The sequence below is a fragment of the Homo sapiens genome, chromosome 5 (assembly GCF_000001405.40).
Source record: "Homo sapiens chromosome 5, GRCh38.p14 Primary Assembly".
Taxonomy (NCBI): Eukaryota; Metazoa; Chordata; class Mammalia; order Primates; family Hominidae; genus Homo; species Homo sapiens.
Window position 1 is genome coordinate 102,391,092 of NC_000005.10, and position 18,064 is coordinate 102,409,155.

At 33.6% G+C, this 18,064-nt stretch overlaps 1 protein-coding gene across 9 annotated transcripts in view; it reads right to left on the reverse strand.

Annotated features, from left to right (window-relative positions):
- Positions 1–18,064, reverse strand: part of SLCO6A1 (solute carrier organic anion transporter family member 6A1) — a 127,228-nt gene that overhangs the window by 19,318 nt on the left and 89,846 nt on the right. For all 9 annotated transcript variants that reach the window (XM_011543148.3, XM_011543147.3, NM_001308014.2 and 6 more), the window contains one exon: positions 8,464–8,651. In XM_011543148.3, coding sequence (XP_011541450.1) covers positions 8,464–8,651 — 188 coding nt within the window. The remainder of the gene's footprint in view (positions 1–8,463; positions 8,652–18,064) is intronic.

The following is an 18,064-nucleotide window of genomic DNA, read 5'->3' on the forward strand; positions in this document are numbered from 1 at the left end:
CACTAAGAATGTATGCTAGATTCAAGGCTAATCATTTTTTTTTTCTGGTGCATCAATTGTACTAAGAATCTTTAGCCAATTGACAGAGTTTAAGCTGGCCTGTTAAAGGACTACAACTCCCCATTTCTCCATATCCTGCCCCTTGCCAGCCATTTCCAAAGGTCCTTAGTCTTCCCAAAGAAGAAGGTTTTTATGGCCCAAATCCTCTTCCCCAGCTCCCATTCCTTTGCTGGAAAGACTTAGCACTAGATTTTATACTTACCGGTTTTCATTCTATCATGTACACTCATTATTTTAGAGTTCTTTTTGCCCCTGTGAGATTCACTCTCCACATTTTTCTACCTTGCTTTCTGCCCCGGGAGGCTGAGGTAAATGGACTATATCAATGGGCTCTCTTGTCTTCTGGCTACTGATTGGGACACTTCTGAATGAGTGAGGAAAGTGAGGTCAAGATTTGTATTCAAAGGTTCCCTCCCAGCAGTTACCCAGGGTGACAGTGTTCCATGGGTGAAGGAGTCCTCTCTACAGGATTCCTTTTTTCTTCCCAGCCCTTGTTTCTCTTCGGGCCTGGAGTGGAAGGATACCAGAGGTAATGCACTATTATTTGGGATTCCTTACACCTTACCTACATTTTAAATAGTCACTTAATTCAACCTTACTCAAATTGTTCTAATTTGAGGGTGCCCCCTCTTTCATGTTTGACCTGTGACTACTACACTCACTATTTAAAAGCTAAAATAAATGAAAAATAACTTTTCCAAATATAAAGAATGAAGATCTGTTTTTCCTACTGATCAAACCAAGCATTTGTTTAAAAAAGAAAAAAATGTATAACCGTACATATTAGGAGTTTGGAAAATAAATAAAAATACAATTAAAAATAATCCTTGAACATTTTAAAAAGTTAAAAAATAAGAACTACATTATTAATGGGCATTTTAAATAAACTCAATACTTACTTTTTGTTTATTTGCCTTCAAACTCGAACAATAAACTATATTATGACCAATATTTCATCCAACATGATTCTATTTATAAAAATACAGCACATACACAGTATTTTGTAATATTTTGCAAAAAGTGAGATAATTCTACCCATATCAACCTGGTAAAAATATATATGTCTTCCTCATATATTTACTATTAGAAAAATAAAAACAAATTAACCAATTCTCAAATGATAACTAAATTTTTAAATAAAAAATAATTTACACTTTCATTATGAGCAGATTCACTAAAGAGAGTTTAAAAAGTCACGTTTTAGAATCACACTTTAGTGTAGTTTTTGATATAAAAGTGGAAATGTTGCCTAATTATAATTCAGTGTTCTCCTTTATTTAGCATAAGTAATTTTCTTTTATGTCATATGATATTGGAGCTATGTGAAGCACATATATAGCTGACCATTATTCATAAGTATAATCATTAAGCAGTATTTATGTATCTTCAGTTTGATTGCCACCCTCTTTCTAACATACAAAACAAGATGAAAAGATAAATAATTTCCAGGATTTTCCAAAATTATTTCAGTGAATAGCACAAAAATAGCTAAGAAATACGAATACACAACTAAGATTTTAATGAAAAACTACTGTGCTTTAACAAAAAAGCATTAACATTTTTAAAATCTAATCTATAATAGAATAGTTAAGAATTTCATGAAATAAACAACAAAAAAAAAACTTGTCAATACTCTCCCAACATGTAAAAGGAAGCTTTCACTCTTTTTATATGGCCTCTAAATTTATATTTTTAATCCATATCTTTCTTATAAGACATCGGTTCTAAATATAAGTTGCTGTCTTGCACAAAATTTATTCTTCCCCTAGAGCTCCCCGTTTCAAAATAAAAAAACATGGAACATTTGTTTACGCACTTCTCAAGCCCAAATCTTGGAAAAAGGCATTTTCAAAATGACCTTTTTTTCTCATTCACCACACCTAATCAGTAGATCCAATACTGTCATTAAAAAATTTTTTTCATATCTCTTTTTTTATCTCTAATACCACTGCCCAATTTCAAGCGTATAGCTTCATGAAATAAATGAAACAATTTATCTCCCAATAACCACCCTTATCCCTTCTGTGCATTCTCCATATAAGAACGAAAGTGATATTTTAAGATGAAATTCTGATTATTCTAATGCCTCACATTAGGATCCTTCAATGGCTTCCCATTGTTCTAAGAATTAAATCTAGAATTGCAAAGAAAATTTAAAATGGTCAGCCTGATCTAATCAGTGTTATTTCATGCCACTTCTCAACTTTTGCCCCCATCACCCTCCATGCTCATTACATTCTGTAATATGACATGCTTACAAAGCTACTTCTCCCTCCAGACTTTTTGCATCTGTTGTTCCCACTGTGTGAAATACTTATCTTCCATCCTTCAGGGTTTGGTTCAAATGTAATTTCTTCAGGAATACCCTCCCCGAATCCCCAGAATAAGTTAGACTATCATGTAATTTTCTCATTGTGTTTTTCTATTTTGTTTGGAGTATATTTTAATAGTACAATTCAATATTTATTAGTAAAACTACATTTTTTTTTCTGTCTACCTTGTTACATCTAACATGCATCAGAGGAGTAGAGACCTGGTCATTTGTGTTCCTCTTTTATTCCACTTTTTTCCTTAAAGTGCTCCTCCACTCTCTTATTTGAATCCACAGTGACTACCACAATTAAGGAGACATAAATATGTTAAAATAACGAAGACAGAAGGGAAAATGTTGAAGAACTAGTTTTCTAAATGAGCCTCTTGATGGAAAGATACAGATACATCATGATTCTTTTCTGTTTATACTGAAGCCCTTCACTGCTTCAGATTTCAGCAAATTTCTCAAGAAGAAAAATTATTTTGTCATTCTTAGCCCCATGTGATCACTGAAAACTGCCCGTTTGCTTGTCTTCCAGTTGTGACCCCCAACCTGGGCCTAGTGCAGATTGCCAGCATCTAGCGTGCATCAAGAATTTGGCAAGTACCTCAGGGGCAGTTTTAGATGCCCAGTTCACCTCTGAAAGCTTCTGCTCTCTCCGGAATTTTGATCCCTTTAGTCCTTTGCCTCTTTTTGACTTTTATCCTTTAACCCAGTCTTTCTAGTTGTCCTCTATATGAGCATTGACCTGTTGCAAATCATTGAATGCTATCCCATTCCCTTGCCTTTAATTATCACTTATTTAACAATAATTTCATATTTAATGTCTTTAGCTTTGACTTTTATTGAACTTTTAAAGATTAAACTTTGTTGAATTTGAATTTGTAATATCGTTACATGCTTTGGAAAGCAAAACAATGTAAAGAAGGCACACTGGAGAAATTTGCTTGCTTATACTCCTATCCTCTGTTTATCTGCAAATAGGTAAATTTATTTCTGTAAGGTTACCTATATCATATTACATACAATATCATATTATATGTAGTATACAATATAATATCATATAGATAATAATATGGATAATAAAAACCTGAGAAAAAGCTAAATGAGAAGGAATAGATTGGTTGAATAAGTGATTGCACTTCTGAGCAATGCAATATTATGCAACTGTAAAAAATAAATAGAGAGGATCTCTATGTTTACATGAAAAAAGATATTAAGAATATATTGTTACATTAAAAATCAAAATAGAGAATGGTGAATATAGTATGCTACCTCCTGTGATGAAAGGATAAAATATAGAGATATACATTTATAGTTACTTGTATGTGCATAAAGAAACACTGAAAGTATAAAAAAGACAGTAACCTTTAGGAGATGGGTAGAAATGGAAATAATTTTGGGAAAAAATATATCAAGTTACAACAGAACCATTTTTCAACAGTCCATCATTGCTGCACTTATTTAAGATTACACTTTCATTGCATACTAAATTCCCACATGAGTTGGGGTTTATTTCTATACTTACTATTTGTTTATAAGTCACTACTTTTTTTTAATTATTGAGACTTAAAAAAATTTGTTTTTATTATACTTTAAGTTTTAGGGTACATGTGCACAACGTGCAGGTTAGTTACATATATATATATGTGTCATGTTGGTGTGATGCACCCATTAACTCGTCATTTAGCATTAGGTATATCTCCTAATGCTATCCCTCCCACCTCCCCCGACCCCACAACAGGCCCTGGTGTGTGATGTTCCCCTTCCTGTGTCCATGTGTTCTCATTGTTCAATTCCCACCTATGAGTGAGAACATGCGGTGTTTGGTTTTCTGTCCTTGTGATAGTTTGCTGAGAATGATGGTTTCCAACTTCATCCATGTCCCTACAAAGGACATGAACTCATCCTTTTTTATGGCTGCATAGTATTCCACGGTGTATATGTGCCACATTTTCTTAATCCAGTCTATCATTGTTGAACATTTGGGTTGGTTCCAAGTCTTTGCTATTGTGAATAGTGCCACAGTAAACATACATGTGCATGTGTCTTTATAGCAGCATGATTTATAATCCTTTGGGTATATACCCAGTAATGGGATGGCTGGGTCAAATGGTATTTCTAGTTCTAGATCCCTAAGGAATCGCCACACTGACTTCCACAATGGTTGAACTAGTTTACAGACCCACCAACAGTGTAAAAGTGTTGCTATTTCTCCACATTCTCTCCAGCACCTCCTGTTTCCTGACTTTTTAATGATCACCATTCTAACTGGTGTGAGATGGTATCTCACTGTGGTTTTGATTTGCATTTCTCTGATGGCCAGTGATGATGAGCATTTTTTCATGTGTCTGTTGGCTGTAAAAATGTCTTCTTTTGAGAAATGTCTGTTCATATCCTTCACCCACTTTTTGATGGGGTTGTTTGTTTTTTTCTTGTAAATTTGTTGGAGTTCATTTTAGATTCTGGATATTAGCCCTTTGTCAGATGAGTAGATTGCAAAAATTTTCTCCCATTCTGTAGGTTGCCTGTTCACTCTGATGGTAGTTTCTTTTGCTGTGCAGAAGCTCTTTAGTTTAATTAGATCCCATTTGTCAATTTTGGCTTTTGTTGCCATTGCTTTCAGTGTTTTAGACATGAAGTCCTTGCCCATGCCTATGTGCTGAATGGTATTGCCTAGGTTTTCTTCTAGGGTTTTTATGGTTTTAGGTCTAACATTTAAGTGTTTAATCTATCTTGAATTAATTTTTGTATAAGGTGTAAGGAAGGGATCCAGTTTCAGCTTTCTACATATGGCTAGCCAGTTTTCCCAGCACCATTTATTAAATAGGGAATCCTTTCCCCATTTCTTGTTTTTGTCAGGTTTGTCAAAGATCAGATGGTTGTAGATATGCGGCATTATTTCTGAGACTTTTAGGGTGCCTTTTAGCTTGTGAGGCTAGGCATCAATTATTGTGCTTCTCTGTTTTAGATTCCCAAGCTTACTCTTGCTTGTTATTTTTCCATAAGAACTTTAGAATCAGGCTATGTAGTTCCACAGTTCTCCTGGTATTTTCATTATCATGTTAAAATTATAAATTAACTTAAGGAGAATTGATATACTTGTGGTGTTGGCTTTCCTATTCAATAACACAAGACACATCTTTGCTCTTTGTTCAAGTCAGACTGCTTTTGTGTGATATTTGAGTGTGTAGGGGGTGGGTGAGTGGGGTTTGTTGTTCACTTTTATTTTGACAGTATTATAGCCCCACAGGAAATTGTAAAAATAGTACAAAGCATGCTGTGTATCTTCTCCCAACTTCTTCCAATAGTGACATCTTATATAAATGTAACACAATATACACCTTCTGGCTGGTGGGTACTCTGCAGGGTCCTGAGGCAGTACAGGGTATCCCATGTCCAAGGGGCTGAGTGTGTTAGCTCAGGTCTCTCTTTCTCCTCTTACAGAGCCATGAATGCTTCACCCTCATGACCTCATCTAATCCTAAGTACTTCCCAAAAGTTCCACCTCTCAAATACAGCAGTCAGATTGCCTACTCTCTTAATATTGTTACAGTGTGGATTAAGTTGCAACACGAGTTTCAGAGAGGATCTAGTTCTTTTCTTCTGTTCTGTGGCCATGATTGTTTCATTTTTTAAGTTTAAACTCATATGTAGTTACATTTATATTTTTATCTGATACATGGTAACTTTTTTTGGTGAGTTTTCATTGTCTATAGTAATGTTTGATAATTTTCATTTCATTTGTAGCAGTTACTTGTAATTTTGTCCATAGGCAGAATCCTTTCCTTTTCTACTTACTCATTTTTGAATGCAATACATTTTCTTAAACTTGAGGAAGTTTCCAGGGGTGGAGCATTGGCCAAGCTTTGAACCTATAGGTTATCTCTTCTATTGATATAGTAGACTTAAATATGACTTCTATGTGTAGTAACACTTCCTCTGCCTCTCCAAATATGTCCTAGTTCAAAAGAGCTTTTACTGCCAGCCCAGGGTTTTTAAAATCTTTTCACATTTCTTGCTTTCAGAGGTTATATGCATTCATTTGCAAAAGGTGTATTTCCTGGCTTTTTTTGAGGTCGGCCATGTCCGGACCTCCTGGGAAATTTTCAAGCCTCCTTCTCCTTCTTTCCTGAGAGATTCTTCCTCAACTTATCTATGTAAGTCCTGCTCCCAGAAGGTCCGTATCAAGACCAAACCCTCTCCTTCTGAGCAGAAATATATGTTAGAGATACCTGTGATCTGTCAGTCCTTGGGTCCTCTGTATATTTTCTGTTCCTTATAACATCTTCTGAACCTACAAGCTGGTTTCCAGTCCTGCTTAAATTTTGGCAACACTTATATGCAATTTCAACTTTGTCATTTTTTTGTTCTATGTCATAATTGTACTGAAACTATAGTGTGTGTCTGTGTGTGTGTTTTATTCTCTTTATCTCTGTCTTGTTATTGAGAGAAGTGAGATTCAGAACTAAACTTCTAGAATATTACTATTATCTCTTTCATCTCACTGCTGGAAACATTGAATGTTTCAAAGAACACTAACTAATAAATGTTCAATATTGTACTGATCATCTTCAGTCTGAGGTTTCTTTTCTCCTTGTATTTCATATTTTAGTTAATGGAATTATCATTCATTCAGTTCCAAACTGGAAGTCTGGATATAATCATAGATTTCTCCATATTTTGTACCAGGCATATCAAATTAATAAATCTTACCCTCTTATTTATTTTTTTTCAGAGTCTCACTCTGGCACACAGGCTGGAGTGCAGTGGCATGGATCTTGGCTCATTGCAGCCTCCGCCCCGAGTTCAAGCGATTCTCCTGCCTCAGCCTTCTGAGTAGCTGGGATTACAGGCCCTCTTCACCACACCTGGCTAATTTCTGTATTTTTAGTAGAGACAGGGTTTCACCATGTTGGCCAGGCTGGTCTCGAATTCCTGACCTCAAGTGATCCATCCGCAACGGCCTCCCAAAGTGCTGGGATTATAGGAGTGAGCCACCGCGCCTGGCCACCACTACTAAATTCTAAGGGCTTTCCGTTTTCTCCAGGTTTTCCCCTCAGCTCCATCTTTCACAGTCTTTTCAAAGCATTCTATCTAAAATGCCATCTGATCACTTTCGCTCTTGAGGTTTGCAGTTTTCAGTGGTTCCCAGGTGTGTACACAGAATAGCAACATTCATGTTAACATGGCAAAGAAGGTCGTGTTAATGTGAATTGGGCCCTTACCTAGCTCAAATCTCTTTGCCTCATTCATTATCATGCTATCCTGTCATAGCAGACTTTTTGCCAGGATATTTCATACATTTTTTGGCTTCACTTTCACTGCTCACTTTTCCTGCTAAGGTCTTGTCCCCCGCCTGCTTGTATCATGAGAAATCATTTATCTTTATAAGTCATTTTATGGAATAGATCTTATAGTACTTCCAAATCAACTCAGATAGAAATTACCATTTTCCTCTCTTTGTTTCCTGGTCAGCCTATGCAGGCTTTTCACGCCTTAAAGTTTTTTGTTAGCGTCTTGAAAAAAAAAATTGAAAATAACAAAACAATTATTCTGCACTATGATACAAATGAATATTAAATGGATTTCATATATTTAGGAAGAACGCATAAATAATAAATGTTGGTTTTGTTTAGAATAATAATAAAAATTATATACTGAAATTCTAAAAGTTATTATGCTCCTTTGTTGATGACACTCATGCTTTCTCATAGTCAAATTAAGCAATATGGATGTAAATAGTTAATAAATTCCTATGACCAATTATAATGAGTTAACATTATAATCAAATCTGTTAAAATTAATATTTTTTTCCTATATTTATAATGTTTCTATGTGTGTTAAATTAGGTAAATACATTGTTTTAAATTAAAGTTAAACAATGTGATATTTACATACTCTATGCAAATAAGTTAGCTAAAAGAGAAATAATTATACACATGAATTGTGTCAATTTAACAACTTTTCCTCTGCATTTGCTACCATGAAACACAGAGTAAATTATTTGCTACAATATTCTAAAATCTTTCCAAAATTACTTTTCTTATATATTAAATAAACAATAATAATGAGTAATATATACATACCGCGTCATGGCCAAGACGATTGGTACACCAGAAAAACCAGAAAATATAAGTGTAGAAAAGATAAAAGCAATGAACAAAGGTAACTTATAGCACTTTGCATCACATTTCCCGGGTCTGGCATCAATAAAATCACCTTCTGCATCTGCAGTTATTAATCCTTCTTTAATGCAAGAACAATTGTAGTACATCTGTGAGTATTGAAGACAGGAAACAATCTTTCAGAAAAATAGTCATAAACAAAAGTTCTTATCATAAAATAAAAATTAAATCAATAACTGCAAGGAGACTCATTAGTTTTATTTCAAAATGTCTTTATATTAAGCCTGCTATGTATTATTTAGAAATGAAACATTAATGATAAATCCAAGGTATTTTACATGGCAAAAAATCTGTGTGTGTGTGTGTGTGTGTGTAATTATAATTACTTAGGAAAAGCTCTGTTAATTTAAGAAATTTTCCTCAGAATATTTATATTCAAATTCATAAGAAATTGTTAAATATATAAATTGAGGGAAATTAAAAATAATGTAACAAAAAATGGAATTTTAGCTGAGATTTAAAATATGGATAGTTACCCAATTGTGAAAGGCTTTGAAACCATACTAAAAAGACTTTATTTTGTATGTAATAATGACAGGGCTGCTATCCATTTGGGACAACAGACACAATGCCTAGAATCTGTAACATATTCAGAACCACATAAAATATTTTAATTTTAAAGCATTTTAAAATCAAAGAAAAAAGTGTATAATAATAAATTATATAAAATGAATATATAATGATGAATCCAGCTTGGATTGTATTTTTTCACACCAATGTGGTGTAGATAAAATAATTTCTTTATCATTATTAATTTTTTAGTGAAGAAAAGAGAGCACGAAGGCAAAAGTGTCTAGAGTCAATGAGATTCATACTGCAGTCCTGAATGGAAAGCCAATGAGAATTTGGAGTTGTGGTTGTAGGGTGGATAATTTAAGGCAGATGAATTGGTGACATTTTCTAAGGAGAATTAAACAGAGTTTAAAGATGCAGAGACCAGTTCGCAATTTATTAATTTATTGGAAATATTCTAAACTAAAAAATAAGAAGAAAAGAACAATACAATAAATTTAGCAGAAATATTGAATTAGATTTTACTAGTGAAAAAATAAGAGAAATTAAACATAACTTGAATCTGGGTTATTCAGAAAATTATAATTCAGACAAATTTATGTCAGTTTGATAGGTGAAGTTGCTGAGAGGTTAATAAATATGTTAAATAATATAAATACCCAAATATCCAAATATCAATTCCTTCATTCCACCAAATATTTTTTTGAGTGCCTATATGCCAATCATCAATCTAGGTTTTGGGAAAACACAGTAAACAATAATATAGAAACCACCATTCCATGTAGAAAACTTTCTATTTGGGGAGACAGGACATTTTAAAAAAAAGGAACTTGAGTATTTAATGATAAGTGCTATGGAGAAAATAATAAAACAAGGAAAAGTACAGGGAATATTGGGGGGGTTATAGGACAATACTTAACATGATCAGAGAATGTTTTGATGATGAAGTGATATTTGAGCTGAGATCTGAAAAAGGTAAGTGAGTGGACCACATGGTTATCTAAAAGAATGTTTCAAGTAAAAAAAAAGGAACAGTAATTGAAAAGCCTTGTGGTAGAGCTTGCTTGAAAAGTTGAAAGAAAAACAAGAACAGAATATGCTGGATCAGAATGAACATGAAGGAGACTAAGAGAAAATAAAATCAGGGTGGTAGGAAAGGAAGGATTAAACAGCTATCGGGTGGCAATTGCAAGAGCAATGTAAAGAACTTTGGTTTTTATTTTTAGTGATGTGAAGTCATTGGATGGATATATAAATGATATATTTTAAAAGATCATTGTGACTGCTATATTGAGACTTTTGAAATATGTAGGCAAGGGTAAAAGCAGATAAAACAGTTAAAAGTCTATAAAATAAAGTACAAGACAATAGTGCTTGGGAGGCCAGGGTGGTAATCAGAGAAAATAAAAATGGCCAAATTCAGAGTTTACTTTGAAAATAGGTTTGAAAGGATTTGCTGAAGGATTCTAGAGTGAAAATGGTCACCAGAAAGAAAAGGTCATATGGGGAAGGACTTCCTAAGAGAAACTATGACTTTTAGTCAAGGGAGGCAGTCAGTCATTCACAGCTCAGGGAAAGAACCAAGAAAATAAACACCATGATTTCACTTGCTTTCCCTGTCTTCCTGATTTCCTATTAGGACTCCTTATCATCTTAACCCAGTCCAAAGCCAGAGGGCAAAGGAGCTTTCATCCTATATTGAGGAGGGTAGAGAAAGGTAAAAAATGAATCTGGAGGACAGACAAAAGATATTTAGCACAATAAATAGTTGTAGGCCATACAACCTTTTAGCCATACAAGATGGCTAAAAGGAGAAATAAAAAATACAACGAAGGGTTCATGAACAGATTATGGAATCAGAAGACATTGGGCTCTAAAAGGGTTGAAGAACTAAGGAGTCCATGTATTAGAGAAAGTGAGCTGAAAGAAAGGAAGTTGTAGATCAATAGCAGAATAATTGAAATTGAGATCATGGAAGGAGTAAAGTTATTGTAAAGGCCTAGGGTATGACCACCGAAGGACATTGCATGAGGTGGGGTGCAAACAAGATTACCAGGAAAGAATATGTCAAGGAATTATATGGTTAGAGTATTAGAAAGAGCCTCAAGATGAATTTCAAGATTACTAACCACTGTATTAGAAAGAATGCCAGTGAACCAGGGCCTAAAATCCTCAAGGAATGGGAGGAAGTATTCTTGAGTCTGAAAATGACTGTAACAAAAAGGATAGTAGAGGTAATGCCTGCTCAAGTAAGTTTCAATGGAGAATTGGGAAAAAGTAAAGGGAAAATGGTCTAAAAGTACTAATGAGTGTCTTAGCTCACTTTGTGTTGCTATAACAGAATGCCACAGACTGAGTAACTTATTTCTCATAATTCTGAAGGCTGGCAAGTCTAATATGAAGATGGTGGCATCTAGTGAGGGCCTTTATGCTGCATCATCTCATGGCAGAAGGCAAAATGGTAAGAGAACAGGAGCACAAGAGAGGGCCAAACTGTTTTTATAGCAACCCACCATGACAATAACAAACCTGCTCCTGCAATAATGACATTAATCTCTTGATGAGGGCAAAGTCTTCACGGCTGAATCACCACTTAATGATCCCACTTGTTAATACCATCACAATGACATTACATTTCAATGACTTTTTCCTCATTTAAATTGGAACACCATGATAAAATTTATAAAATATCAACTTTTGCAAATGGCTTGCAAGCCATTGTTAATTACTATATAATGTTAGTTTCTAAGTTACTAATATAGGCCCACAGTCCTCTACACATAATTTTCAAGTCCAGAGAACTCTGAAAACCAAAGAATTTTCTTTGTAGCTTATTTGATGAAAAAATATGACCTAGAATAATGTAAAGCTATTTAATGTTTTCATTTATCTCTCTAAATGAGAATATCATAAGTGTTGGTATAGAAATATTAATGTTTGATTACAGTTGCTGCTCTGCTGAGTGTGGAATATGATATACAATGATTATGTACTATATTTCTTTTTAAAATCCAACAACTGAGATATTTGAATGCAAGAATTTTGGATAAAAGCTTGTGAGCCTTGAACAGGAGTATTTTTCTTACCCAAATGTACTGTCTCAGCTGAGAGGACATGATTAGTCTCTACACAGTTACCAGAGCATAGTAATGGTAATGAAAGTACAGTGCTAACTTAAATTTTGTTACTTTTCATTATAAAAATAATTCATGACCACTGAAAATATTTTTAAGATATAGAAAAATGAAAAAAGTAAAAATAGTCAAGTCCCCAAAGATGGATATTATCTTAAAGTATTTGTTTTTATTTTCTAAGATATCATGTTAAAAGAACAAAGTGCATAAAATATGTATAATATGCTCCCATTTGTATAGAAAAGACTTTATATGCTTTAACATGTATATTTCTATAATGATGCATAAAAACAGATGGTAAAATTTGTTGCTTCTGAATATGAGCACAAGGTATCAATGGCCTGTGATAGAAAGGAGACATATTTAACAGTACAGCTTAAACTATTTGAATTATTTACCATGAAAAACTACTACTTTATCCAAAAAAGGTGTAAATTTAAAGTAACATTTTAATGATTATTCATCTGACAAATATTTATTAAGCATCTGCAAAGAAACAGGCAGTAATCTAGATACTGCAAATAATGGTGAACCAAAGAGACAAATTTCCTAACAAGTACAGCATATAATCAAGCTTTTTAACTGAATTTTATATTATATATATACTTTTTACCTATTTTTCTACTTATTTTTTCTAATTATTTTTCTACTTTTTATTTTTCTTATTTTTTGACTAGTCATCTCTGAAAGGTTTATATTATTCTTTCAAGTACATACATCACCATTTACATAAACTCATTCCTATAACTTGCCAATTTATTCCCTTCTGAGTTTTAAAATATTACTTAGATGTACAATATCTATTTTATTTTCTTGGAATTGAGACTCACTATGGAAAATACTGCATCTAAGAACATCAGCATTTTAAAGGTTGTTTGATATGTATTCTCAAATTGCTTAAGAACATATTTTAGGCTGGGTGTGGTGGCTCACGCCTGTAATCCCAGCACTTTAGGACACTGAGGCAGGTGGATCACAAGGTCAGGAGATCGAGACCATCCTGGCTAACATGGTGAAACCCCATCTCTACTAAAAATACAAACAATTAGCCAGGTGTGGTGACAGGCACCTGTAGTCCCAGCTACTTGGGAGGCTGAGGCAGGAGAATGCCGTGAACCGGGGAGGCGGAGCTTGCAGTGAGCCAAGATCTCGCCACTGCTGTGCCACTGTACTCCAGCCTGGGTGATGGAGAGAGACTCTGTCTCAAAAAAACAAAAAACAAAAAAAGAATATATTTTGAAAGTTTATAACACCAGAAACATATAAGATTATGTGTTAATTTGAACTATCAACATTTTTTAATTTAACAAATTAAAAAGAGAAAAGGGTATCTCTGTGTTGTTTTTATTTATGTTTTAATTTTAGAGTGAAATGTTATTTTCATAAACTTGGTATTACTATAATGGATTTATGTACACAATGTTAGTATGAAATGTTAGACTAATAGAGGCATAAAATATCCAAGTTTTGTGGGAGAACACTAGAGAATGTATACCTGTGCTCTATTACCTATAAAGAGGCAACTACTCAACTGGCATCGCAGAAATTAAACCAAAGAGCAAGGATGAGAAGAGAGAAGTAAGTTCTACATTTGATGAAACAATAAAACAGCCAAAACTTTAATTCAAAACATATGAAAAATCGTGCCTAAATTAAAAGAAAATACACATACCTCCATACACTGGAGGTATCTCACAGAATTCTCCAACACAGGAACATGAATTTAAAAGCCAAAATATTCATTATGTTATTATTTGTTATACAATTTTACAGCATTTAAAATAATTAGTGAGAGTCCCTTTTCTGACATAATTTAAGTCCTCCAAGTCTCATCCCTCCAACTGATTACAAATAAAAACTCTGGCTAAAATATGCAAAAAGTAACTACCTGTAGAAGTTCTAAATGAAAGAAAAGCAGCTGAATTGTGAAGGAGAAGAGAAAGATATTGGGGCAGAAAAAGGCATTTAAATTAAAAATTGCTGAAAACTACCCAAATTTGGTGAAAATATAAATTTATGGATTCAAGAAGTTCAGTGAATTCCAAACAGGATAAACTCAAAGAAAACCAAACCAACACACTAATGAAAAGCAAAATTTAAAAAAAAAAGAAATACTGAAAATAGCTAGATAAAACAATATATATTATATACAAGTAAATCAATTATTTGAATCACCATACATATATCATCAGAAACCATGGATGCTGGAATACAGAGAAGCATCATATTTACAGTGTTGAAAGAAAATAATGATCACCCCAGAATTCAATGTCTAGTGAAAATATCCTTCAGGAATGAAGGCAAGACAAAGATATTTTAAGTTGAAAGAATACTAAAAGGATGTCACCAGCCTACCTCCTTTACAAGAAATGCCAAAATAAGTTCTTCAAGCTTAAGGTAAATGATGATGCTGAGCGAAACTCACATCTTCATGAATGATGAATATTAAATTTCTGGGTAAATATAAGACTACATTATTTTCATAAGATATTTTAAGTACAATTTTTTTAAACAAGTCATAATATTATCTATCACAAATTTGAATATATGTATAGCTATAAGACATGTTACAACTGCAACATAAATGTTACTGGGGAAAAGTAAAGGTACATATATGGTGAGTTTTATACCTATATGGTGAGTTTTATATTACACTATGTGCTATAATATTAATTCTAAATAGACTGTGAAATGTTATATAATCTAAGAGCCATTCAATTAAAAATCAATTCAAAGAGATAAAACAAAATGTCAAGGTATACTAAAGTGAAATAGCAAAGTGTATTCAATTCCAATAATAAAATAAGCAGCTAGATCTAAACTCAGCCATACTGATAACTCTATTAAATGTAAATAATTTTGGAACTCCAATTAAAAGACAGAATAACAGACTGGAGAAAAGGTAAATCCATTACTCTATGCTGGCTACAGGAGACAGTCTAAACATAAAGACACAGGAAAACAAAAGGATAGAAATAAAATACACCATAAAAATAGCAAAATAATGCTATAATAATGATTTAATATCATGCAAAATACACTTCAAGAAAAAGAATATTATTATCGGAGACAAAAAGGGACATTTTAGAAAGATAAATGAATAGTTCATCAAAAAGATGTGACAATTATTAATATGTAGGCATATACACGTTAATACACAACACAAAAATAAAGAGAAATAGACAATTATACAATTATATTAGATCTTTTTCATACACAGTGTTCAGAATTTAATACAACATTATAAGCCATACAAAGTGACAAGAAAATTTGGCTTAAAATTAGAGAAAAATAAACAATATAAGTAGATTCATAGGTGAACTAGATAGCAGAGTTAATAGTAAGAATGTTAAAATAGTTATGATTAATGTGTTCCAGAAAGTACAGGAGACAAATGAATAACATAGCTTAAATTATGTAGAATTTCACCAGAGATTTGTATTCTAAAAAAAAACATTAATACTAGAACTAAAAAATACAAGTGAAATTAGAACCTCAGAAAATGGGTTTAACAGCAGAGCAGACACTGCGGAATAGAGGCTTAGTAACTGGAAGATAGATGAACAGAAACTATCTATACTTAAATAAACAGATGAAAGGGGACAGAAAAGAGAAAAAGTAGCAAAAGATTATGGAACAGGAGTAGAAATGACTATTTGTAGTCTGCGTTAAGCAGAATTCCAAAACAACACCCAAGAGTCCCTCTATTGTGTATATCCCTACATAATCCCTAGGACTGTAAGTTGATAAGGAAGTAAAAGGCATGACTCAACTCCGTAGATGGGGGCTCAAACATTGGACCAAATTGAGGACTAGCTAAAACAGGGACAGGGTGAAGCAGCTTTCCATGACATGTCCACCAGTGTGCCATGTCAGCTTGCCATTGCCATGGCGACAGTAGTAGTTACCACCCCTTTCCATGGCAATGACCCAACAACCCAGTTACCCCCTGCCCTTTTCCTAGAAATTTCTGCATAATCTGTCCCTTAATTTGCATGTAATGAAAGTGGATATAAATATACCTGCAGACCGGCCTCTGAGCTGTTACTGTGGGCACATTGCCTATTGGGTACTGCTGCACAAGGAGCAATACCTCTCTGCTGCTACTGTATACCAGTGCTTCAATAAAAGTTGCTGTGTAATACCAACCTTGAATGATGCCCTTGAATTCTTTCCTGGGCAAGGCCAAGAACCTTCCCGGGCTAAGCCCCAATATTGGAGCTCATCTGCCTGCATCAATCAGTTTTACTCAATTATATTCTATGGCATAGTTTACTTTAAGAAAGAAAGGCTATCTTGGATAAACCTCATCTAATTAGGTGAGCCTTAAAATGTACCGGGCTCCTCTTGAAATCAGAGATACAAAATATGTAACATAAGGGAGATTCTCTGTTGCTGACACTGAAGACGGAGTGGGTTATATGTGAAAGAATGTGTGAGGCCTGTGAAAACTAATACTGGCCTCCAACATACAGCTAGCAAAAAAATTAGAGCCTTCTTTTTTTAACCCAAAGGAACCAAATTTGTTCAATAACCTGAACAAACTTAGAAGTGAACTCTTTCCAAGGCCCTCCAGAAAGGAGCACAACTCAGCTATTACCCTGATTTCAGCCTGTGAGACTTGGAGCAGAGGACCCAGTCATGCATGGCATGTCTGGATTGCTGACCTTAGAACTGAAAGCTAATAAATGAGTGTTATTCAAAACCACTAAAATTGTGGTACAATAATCCCCCCTTATCCATGGGAAATACATTCCAAGATCCCTGAATGTCTGAAATCATGAATAGAACTGAACCCTATATCTACTCCTTTTTTTCCTATACATACATACCTATAATAAAGTTTAATTAATAAATTAGTCACAGTAAGAGATTAACAATAACTATTAATAAAATAGAACAATTATAGCAATACTGTAATAAAAGTTATGTGAAGATTCTCTCTCTCTCTCTTTCTGTGTCTCCCAAAATACCTTAATATTTTCAGACCACAGTTGATTGCAGGTCATTTAAATTATGGATGCAGGGGCTACTGTAATTTATTATGTAGCAATAATAAACTAATAGTTCCCAAAAATACAGGAAAGAGAGAGAGAGGTTAAATAGCTAAGAATTTTTCAACCGATAGACCTGAATCCACAGACTGAAGATACTCTGTGAAACCCAAGCAAAATAAACATAATCAAAGCCACATCAAAGTAAAACTTCTGATAACCAAAAACAAAGAGAAAATCCTAAAGCATCCAGAAACAGAAGGCAACATATGATATCTTTTAAATGTTGGTGGTGGGGGGAATGAGGAGTAGCGGGAATCACTGCCAATCTAAAGTTCCATACCCAGTGAAAACCGTTTTCAAAATGAAGGTGAAATAAGGTTCTTCAGGCAGAAGAAAAATAATCCCATATGAAAGAATGAAAATGCAAGGAAAAGGGTAAATAAAAGTCAATATTGATTGTACAAAAGCCAAATTATAATAGCATATTTCATTTAAAACATATAAAAATACATATTAAAAATAACACAAAGATAGGAGGTCAGTAAATAAAATTAAAATATTCCAATGATATTTAAGCTGAATGAAAACCTGAAGCCTTGCTTCTTATAATCCTTAATCCTTTGGATGTGATTTACTTTCCTCTTCAGAGATAAATAGAATGAAGTTTCTGTTGAACCTCTGGAAGAATATTCCATATTGCTATTTTATAATGAAAACTATATCAGCGGCTGAAAGGAATCAGTCTTGGGGAGATCACAAAAAAAGCCCAAGATTTATTTAATATCTATATAAAGAAATTTGAAGATCTTTGGAAGCATGGATAAGAAGAATACGTGTGGTTCTCAGTGAGGAAAAGCT